Raw genomic sequence first — 8,606 nt, 5'->3', positions numbered from 1 at the left:
ATGGTTAAAGACACAGTTGACAAATTTGGTTATTTCCGTGCCTATAATAATTTAATATAATTACCATAATTACATGATAACATACCAAGACATACCAGAATTTTAGGAATCTAAAATAATTTTGGAATATGTATAACAACACATCCATAAAAATGTAACTCAAGGAGACCACCTGGCCAACATGGCGAAACCCTGTCTCTTCTAAACATACAAAAATTAGCCGGGCGTGGTGGCATGCGCCTGTAGTCCTAGCTACTTGGGAGGCTGAGGCGGGAGAATTGCTTGAATCCAGGAGGCAGAGATTACAGTGAGCCAAGATCATGCCACTGCACTCCAGCCTGGGTGACAGAGTGAGACTCCGTCTCAGAAAAAAAAGAAAAATGTAACTCAAGGTCAAACATCATTCCTTATTTGTCAGTGCTTCTTATGTTGTTTGTTTATTTATTTTTTGAGATGGAGTTTCGCTTTTGTTGCCCAGGCTGGAGTGCAATGGCACGATCTCGGCTCACTGCAACCTCCAGCTCCCAGGTTCAAGCAGTTCTCCTCCCTCAGCCTCCCGAGTAGCTGGGATTACAGGCATGCGCCACCACACTCGGCTAATTTTGTGTTTTTGGTAGAGACTGAGTTTCCTCCTGTTTGTCAGGCTGGTCTCAAACTCCCGACCTCAGGTGATCTGCCCGCCTCGGCCTCCCAAAGTGCTGGGATTACAGGCGTAGGCCACTGTGCCCGGCCTGCCATGGAATTTCTAAGTGGCATGGCTAGTTCACTGTACCGGGGCATTCTGACAAGAGTATGGGTTCCTCCCCAAAGCAAAACCTAGACTCCAGCTAGCAGTGTTAATGCTGTGTGTGGGTGACCACTGATGGGCAGAGAGGAGACACAGCAGTGCCTCACAGATCTGAGTTGCATGGGAATCTCCATTCAGACCCAGGGTTGGGGTCTGGGTTAGGTAGGAACTCCTGCCACTTGTTGGTGACATGGCCCTAAATAGGGCTCTGAGATTAGGTTATAAAAATAATATGGCCTCTGTCTGAGTTTCTTTCTCAGATCCCTTGCTCTGGGGAAAGCAGGTTGCCATGTTGTGAGCAGCTTTATGACAAAGCCCATGCCACTATGACGTTTACCTCAGGCAAACAGCCAGCAAGCAGCTGGAGACAACCACAGGAGTTAGCTCAAAGCGGATTCTCCAGTTCCTGGTGGGGCTCAGGCCCACTGCAGCCCCACCGACAGCCTGTCTACCACTTCATGAGTTGCCCTGAGCCAGACTCACACAATTCTAAAATCCCTAGCCCTGAGAAACTGTGGGCAATAATAAATATTTCTTGTTTTAAGCTGCAATTTTTGAAGTAATGTATTTTGCAGCAATAGGTAATGAGTACAGGTTGGGTGGGATGATTTCTTACTTTTTGAAGTCAGCAAGTCCTTGTAACTACAAGATAGGTCTGACTGCTCCGAGGTTCTTCCAAGTCACATCTGTTTTGCACTGATCCTGGATGGGAAAGGGATTTTAAGCAAAACAAGCAATGGAAAAAATGACAGAGGACGTCAATACATAGGGTTGTATAAACATGAAAACGGGGCCCCCAAAAATCTAATTAAATACAAATTAATTCAGTTAAATCAATGTTTATTGAGCACCTATGATGTGCTAGGTAGCGTGCTAGGCTGTGAAATACAGAGCAAGACATGTTTGCAACAAAAATGGCAAATTGGTTAAAAAAAAAAAAGGAACAAGACTTTAGGCTGGTCCAGTGGTAGTGGATTATCAGAACTTACTAACATTAGTGTCACTAAAGTTGATGTACAGTCCCCTACTGCTAAATTTGACTGGCTTTAAAAAAGAAAACTAACAAAACTTCTAGAGATAAATGGGCAAAGGACAAGGACAATTCCCAAAAGATGGCATAGCCTGAAAAAACATGCGTATGAAAAACCTGATCAAGTAGTAATTAAAACTATGCAAATTTAAAGCATAATGAGAGCGTTTCCATGATCATATAACAAGGATTATGAATGATGTTATCCAATGTTTCTGAAAAGGCAGGGACACCGCTGTAGACTACTGAGAGTATAGACTGATACAACTTTTGTGGAAAACTATTTGGTAATATATTTCAAGACCCTTAAAAATATTCATATTCTTTAACCTGTAATTCCACTATGAGTAATTTTTTTTTTTTGAGATGAAGTCTCACTCCATTGCCCAGACTGAGTGCAGTGGCGTGATCTCAGCTCGTTGCAACCTCCGCCTCCCAGGTTCAAGTGATTCTCCTGCCTCAGCCTCCCAAGTAGCTAGGATTACAGGCGCCCACCACCACACCCAGCTAATTTTTGTATTTTTAGTAGAGGCAGGGTTTCACCACATTGGCCAGGCTGGTCTCGAACTTCTGATCTCAAATGATCCACCCACCTCAGCCTCCCAAAGTGCTGGGATTACAAGCATGAGCCACTGCACCCGGCCTCCACTATGAATAATTTTAACAATGATTTATTTAAAAGATATTTATCACAGTAATATTTCCAAAAGCATTAGGGAAATGCTAAGTACATATTGGTATATCCACTTGATGGGAAGTTATGCAAAAATTAAAAATGATATTGATGAGTTTTCTTTGGGTTTATAATAAACTCACAGAGTATAAATTCTAAGGTCCAGAAGGGCATGGGATGAAAAGTAGGGCTCTCTTCTGCTCTCTCCTATCTCTCAGGCCCCAGATCCCCACTTTAGAGGGGACCATTGAAAGTGTGTGTGTGGGCCGGGCCCGGTGGCTCATGCCTGTAATCCCAGCACTTTGGGAGGCCCAGGTGGGCGGATCACGAGGTCAGGAGATAGAGACCATCTTGGCTAACACAGTGAAACCCCGTCTCTACTAAAAATACAAAAAATTAGCTGGGCGTGGTGGCAGGCGCCTGTAGTCCCAGCTACTCGGGAGGCTGAGGCAGGAGAATGGCGTGAACCCGGGAGGCGGAGCTTGCAGTGAGCCGAGATGGCACCACTGCACTCCAGCCTGGGCAACAGAGCAAGACTCTGTCTCAAAAAAAAAAAAAAAGAAAGTGTGTGTGTGTTCTTTTTTCTTCTCATTCTAGTGACAGCTTGTTTTGCCTTGTTTTTCACTTATTAATATATCTGATGATTGTTCCATATCAATACGCAAAGAGCTTCCTCATTTTTTATGCTTGAATATGATTTCATTGGATCGATATATGACAATATATTGAGCTAGTACTCCATGGATGGACATTAATTATTTCAAGTCTTTTGCCAAAATAACCACACTGCTATGAACAACTGTGTCATCTTTTACTTTGCATATGTGAGAATATATTTGTAAGGTAAGTTTTTTGACATGGACTTAATGGGTCAAAAGATAGGGGCATTTTACATTTTGATCACATGGCCAAATTTCTCTTCACAGATATTTTTATTTTATTTTATTTTGAGATGGAGTCTCACTCTGTCGCCCAGGCTAGAGTGCAGTGGTGCAAACTCAGCTCACTGTAACCTCCACCTCCCAGGCTCAAGCGATTCTCCTGGCTCAGCCTCCCGAGTAGGTGGGATTACAGGTGCTGCGCCACCTCCGCACGGCTAATTTTTGTATTTTTAGTAGAGACGGGGTTTCACCATGTTGACCAGGCTGGTCTCGAACTCCTGACCTCAAGTGATCTGCCTGCCTCAGCCTCCCAAAGTGCTGGGATTACAGATGTGAGCCACCCTGCCCAGCCCTTCACAGAGATTTTCAATTTTTATGTGCAAAATTGTCTGCTTATAAAGTGGCTAGCCCTGTATTCTATCAAACTTTTTGTTAGAAAAAATACATTGAGTGATTTTAGAAAATACTTATGAAATACTAAGTTAAAAAAGCAAGACTCAAAATTTTATGTACAGTAAGAACTTACTCTTGCAAATATATAGTTGAAAGAGAGTATGCCAAAATATTCACAGCGATTATCTTAAATGTATTATGTCTTAAATATATTAAATAATTTCATTATTTCATAATTGCTATAATATTGTTTAATTTTGTTAGTGTCTTAGTATGTTTTCTGTTGCTTATAACAGAGTATCTGACATCGGGTAGTTTATAAAGGAAAAGAATTTATTTCTCACAGTTATGAAGGCTGAAAAGTCCAAGGTTGAGGGGCCGCATTTGTGCCAGCCTTCTTGCTGGTAGGGACTCTGTGGCATGGGGTGTAACATGGCAAGGAGGTTGATCATGCTAGTTCAGGCCTCTCTTCCTCTTCTTCTTCTTTTTTTTTTTTTTTCTGAGATGGTGTCTCACTCTGTCTCGCCCAGGCTGGAGTGCAGTAGCACTCTCGGCTCACTGCAGCCTATGCCTCCTGGGTTCAAGCGATTCTCCTGTCTCACCCTCCCAAGTAGCTGGGACTACAGGCGTGTGCCGCCACACCCGGCTAATTTTGTATTTTTAATAGAGATGGGGTTACATCATGTTGGCCTGCCTGGTCTTGAACTCTTGACCTCAGGTGATCCACCTGCCTTGTCCTCCCAAAGTGCTGGGATTACAGGCATGAGCCACTGTGCCCAGCCATCTCTTCCTCTTCTTATAAAGCATAAAGCCACCAGTTTCATCTCCTGATAACCCATTAATCTACTAACCCATTAATCCATGAATGGGACTAGTGGCCCTCGTGACCCAATCACCTCTTAAAGATCCTACCTCTCTCAATACTGTCTCATTTCAGATTAAGTTTCAACAAGAATTCTTGGAGGGGGCAACATTCAAACCACAGAAGTTAGTAAAATATCCTAAATATGTCCCTTGGATATAGCACACACTTTGTTTGTTTTTTTACTCACAATACCTGCCCCAGAGATGAGCTGTTTGAGGAATGAAGAATATTTTCCAGCAGCGTGGATGACCATTTGCAATTAAAAACTTTGTCACCAGATGGCGGAAGAGGGTTAAAATTCAGGGAGCTTAGAGTCTGAGTCGCGAAAATCAAGCACAATGTACTGTGAGAGCTTGTGAAACGTTCTAATAACTTAAAATTATACATGTATTAAAAATTAAAATGTGACAATTAGAATTGTATCTAAACTATTTTTCCAGAATATTTAAAACTTCCAGGAAAAACCTTAGTGGTGTCTTCAGCTCTCCCGCTTCTATGTCCCCAGTTTGTGCCATTTCTTACCCCCTGCAGTTAAGCCTAGCTTCCTAGTGCCTACCACGTCCTCTGCTGCCCCTTGATGGTTCTGCCAGGCTTCTCTGCCTTCCTTCTAATCTCACTGCTTTCAAAGGATATGAGCAAGTACGTAAATGGATGCATCCCTTGGAGATGCTTGGTGGCTGGAGGCCACCTCTCCATCTTTGCAGTTGTGGATGACTTTATTGGTGGGAGTTCATCTGAGTGGGGCTGGCTGCAGTTTTATGGAGCAGAACTTGTTCCAGGTGCTTCACATAATTCTAGCAATTGCCCTTTCACTGTGTCTGGGTGTAGCTAGAACCTGCTCCAGGGGTGAGTGCTTGCTTCTCCAGGCTGGGCTGGTGCCAGTCTTGGCAACCTTGACCTTTATCCTCCCCACTTTGAGCACCTATTCCTCTGCCCAGGATGGATCTGCCCCAGGAAGGATGTCTGTCTTTGCATCTATTTAGAAGGGCAGAGCTCTAACCTTGAGCTCTTCATCCCTTAAATAAACTGTGATCTTGGGCAAGCCATTCAACCCCTCTGGGCCTCAGGTTGGGCTTCGGGCCTGTCGCACCAGGCAGTACTTTGTCATAAGCCCTGCATTACTATTAAAAGTCATGGCAAAAACCGCAATTACTTTTGTACCAATCTACTACAATGCAGAGAGGGGTCTGACCTGCCCTGGGGTTTTATTTGTGAGGGTGGAAGAGTGGAGGGAGAAGAAGGAATCTTGGGCCCCTCTTGCTGGGGTGGAATGGGCAGGGAAGGGTCTTGCCTTTTGAGAATGGAAAGGGAGTCAGAGAGCGGCTGAGCTCCTGGAAGCCCTGTTAGGACACCACCAAGTGACTAGAGTCAAGGGGAAACAGCAGAGATGACCTCTCCATGACATTTTAGACTAAAACGTGACCCCATTCATTAAAAACACCTGCAACAACAAAAAGTAAAATAAAAAATGAACCGTCCCCCAGGGCCTGATCTGCAGCAGGTGCCGGTGGGGCCCGCCGTGAAGCCAAGGCGTCTGCGGGAGTTGTCGGCCCCAGGCCTTCTGTAGCTTAAACCGGGTCCTCGCGACCATCTGATCAGATCCCGTCTATCACCCCGCAGAGCCTGGATTTCGTGCTGTCCAGGGGGCCTTGTGGGCAGGAACCCAAGCCAGGACCAGTTATTTCCAATACCCAAAGACTTCCAGAAGGAGGCAGCTAGCTTCGGGCTGATATATTGATCGTGGCCCGACGCTGTGGGGCTTTAAATGGGCCTGGGTCCGGGTGCGGGCTGCAGCCCCTGGCCGGGTGAGCGCCGAGGGTCCCGCCCAGGTCTCGCGCAGGGAGCGCAGAGCGCCGACGGCGGCCGTCGCAATCGGGAGTGGTTTAGGACCCGGGGGCGGCTTCCCTGCGCGAGTGTGGAACGCAGAAGTTGAGTCTGCGGAGCCGCGGGCAGTGGCAGTCAGGCCTCCCCGCTCTGTGCTACCTGCGGCCCGGCTCTCCTCCGCGCCCCCACTCGCGCTGCGATGACGCGCTCACTGTTCAAGGGAAACTTTTGGGTAAGTCGTGGGGCCGACAGCGGATCGCGGGGCTCAGGACCCGGCCCGGGCGGGAGGCCAACGCGGCGGGCGTGGGGGGCTCCCCAGCTCCGGCGCCACTCGGTGACCGCGCGCCCGGGGGCTTGGCGGAGCTCGCGCGTGAAGGGATCGGGGCCCCAGCCCCACTGCTCGAGGGGCAGACTTGGAGCGGACGCCGGGCTGCTGTTCCCTCTCTGTCCCCCGCTACCCACCGCGTGCCCGCGAGTCCCGGGGGCTCGGACTCCAGGGCCCACCCTCTGCCGCCCGCGCCCCCAGCAGCGCGTGCTCCTGAGGACGCAGAGAGCCGAGACACCTTAGAGTCAGGACATCAACCCCTCCTCTCACAGGCGAAGCAGAGACCCTTAGGGAGGCGAGACCCGTCCGGGGAGAGTCTCTGCCGGTCCCTGGAGCTGAGCCGTGAGAGGATCTGGGGGGATCTGGTGTGGGGGCTTGTGAGCTTTACCGGGTTGACAGCAGCAGCTGCCCCCCGGGATCGTCCTTTCCAGGAAACGTACAGCATAGAGGGCTTCCCTTTGCTGGAGCTTTCCCTGTTCTACAGCCTTGTTTCCCGAGCCCCCTCCCCAGGCCATTGCCCCAGCCCTTCCGTCCAGGCCCCATAGCGGGGCTGATGGTGTGGGAGACCCTATAAGCTGGAGGGGGTACCCCACCCAGCCCGGTAGGGCCAGCCCAGCCTGGAGGGAGCAGGTCTGCCTGTCCCCCTCCTCTGTCTAGTCCTCTTCCCTCTGTCCTCTCACTCCCCAGGTGCCCCTCAAGGTCCATGCCCCCTCATTCAGAGGAGCTGTCCTCATCCCTTTAAGACAGGAGCAGGAGGCTGCAAACCTCAAAGTTGACCGCAGCTGCCAAGGGGCCCTGACTCCTTACTGGGGCTCCTGCTTGCCTCCCCCCACCACCCACCCAGGTAGCTTCACAGCTGCCTAGATGGTCCCTCTACCCCACGTGGGCTGCAGGGTAGAGAAACCTGGCTGGGGACCTCAGGGACACAGTTGAGACTGTGCCTGTGAGTCCCTTCACTGGAGTTTGTGAGGTCCTTCTGGGGCACTACTCACCCTAGGGTGCAGGGTGGTGGCAGCCTCACAGAGGAACCAAGGGCACCACAGATGGCTCTCACGGGAGGCTTGCGAGTTTTTCAGGTAGAATGGAGGACTGGGGGATCCCATGGCAGGCACTGTGGGAAAAAGGCTCTGTATAATACAAACTGGAGAATGAGATGTGGGCCCCAGAAATAAGGAAGTCAGCAGAGGAACTGGTTCGTGGAGACATAAGGAGAAGGAGGCAGACGTGATACTAACAGTATTTAGTTCAGGCACAGTGGCTCATGCCTGTGATCCCAGCACGTTGGGAGGCCGAGGTAGGAGGATTGCTTGAGGCCAGGAGTTCGAGACCACCCTGGGCAACATAGTGAGACTCTGTCTGTCTCTACAAAAAAATCTTAAAAATTAGCTGGGCATGGTGGTGCATGCCTGTAGATATAGTTACTTGGGAGGCTGAGGCAAGAGGATTGCTTGAGGCCAGGAGTTTGAGGTTGCAGTGAGCTATGATCACATCACTGCACTCCAGCCTGGACGACAGAGTGATTTGTGTTTGTCTCAAAAACGAACAAACAAACAAACCCAACCAAACAACACAATCCTCAGTATTTAGCCACAGTTTTAGCACTGGCAAGGCTAAGGCCAGGCGGGCGCTAAGCCCCTCCCCACCAGCCTCCACCCCTCAGCCCCATGCCAGGGATGCTGGATACGGGGAGGTCTTAGCGGAGAGGGTGACAGGGTGAAGACAGGGTTCCAGGCCACAGAGTTTGCAGTATTTTAATATCTTCACAGCCAGTACAAACATGTCAGTGAGTACTCTCTAATGTCTGGTGGGTGACATGCAGGGTTTGAGG

The 8,606-nt window shown here is 48.9% G+C and overlaps 1 protein-coding gene and 1 pseudogene across 1 annotated transcript in view, besides 6 other annotated features; both read left to right on the top strand.

The window, feature by feature from the left end:
• On the top strand, nt 1,742-1,837 carry RNY4P37 (RNY4 pseudogene 37; annotated as a pseudogene).
• Nucleotides 6,175-6,676: an enhancer, noted in NCBI's record as "H3K4me1 hESC enhancer chr18:43652131-43652632 (GRCh37/hg19 assembly coordinates)". NCBI's record gives its function as "activates a minimal SCP1, AML or CMV promoter by ChIP-STARR-seq in naive H9 embryonic stem cells {active_cell/tissue: H9 hESC(naive)}" and the evidence as "EXISTENCE:reporter gene assay evidence [ECO:0000049][PMID:30033119]".
• Nucleotides 6,286-6,445: a silencer, noted in NCBI's record as "silent region_9418". NCBI's record gives its function as "represses an Ori minimal core promoter by ATAC-STARR-seq in GM12878 lymphoblastoid cells {active_cell/tissue: GM12878}" and the evidence as "EXISTENCE:reporter gene assay evidence [ECO:0000049][PMID:35858748]".
• Nucleotides 6,576-6,625: a silencer, noted in NCBI's record as "silent region_9417". NCBI's record gives its function as "represses an Ori minimal core promoter by ATAC-STARR-seq in GM12878 lymphoblastoid cells {active_cell/tissue: GM12878}" and the evidence as "EXISTENCE:reporter gene assay evidence [ECO:0000049][PMID:35858748]".
• PSTPIP2 (proline-serine-threonine phosphatase interacting protein 2) overlaps nt 6,581-8,606 on the top strand; it is an 88,725-nt gene continuing 86,699 nt past the window's right edge. The window contains exon 1 of the mRNA NM_024430.4: nt 6,581-6,685. Within this exon, the coding sequence (NP_077748.3) occupies nt 6,653-6,685 (33 nt within the window). The 5' untranslated portion in view covers nt 6,581-6,652. The remainder of the gene's footprint in view (nt 6,686-8,606) is intronic.
• Nucleotides 6,666-7,045: a silencer, noted in NCBI's record as "silent region_9416". NCBI's record gives its function as "represses an Ori minimal core promoter by ATAC-STARR-seq in GM12878 lymphoblastoid cells {active_cell/tissue: GM12878}" and the evidence as "EXISTENCE:reporter gene assay evidence [ECO:0000049][PMID:35858748]".
• Nucleotides 7,896-7,955: an enhancer, noted in NCBI's record as "active region_13268". NCBI's record gives its function as "activates an Ori minimal core promoter by ATAC-STARR-seq in GM12878 lymphoblastoid cells {active_cell/tissue: GM12878}" and the evidence as "EXISTENCE:reporter gene assay evidence [ECO:0000049][PMID:35858748]".
• Nucleotides 7,996-8,095: an enhancer, noted in NCBI's record as "active region_13267". NCBI's record gives its function as "activates an Ori minimal core promoter by ATAC-STARR-seq in GM12878 lymphoblastoid cells {active_cell/tissue: GM12878}" and the evidence as "EXISTENCE:reporter gene assay evidence [ECO:0000049][PMID:35858748]".

Source organism: Homo sapiens, chromosome 18 (assembly GCF_000001405.40).
Source record: "Homo sapiens chromosome 18, GRCh38.p14 Primary Assembly".
NCBI classification, from domain to species: domain Eukaryota; kingdom Metazoa; phylum Chordata; class Mammalia; order Primates; family Hominidae; genus Homo; species Homo sapiens.
The sequence above is the reverse complement of the archived record's forward strand: the minus strand, read 5'-3'. Positions and strand labels throughout refer to the sequence as shown.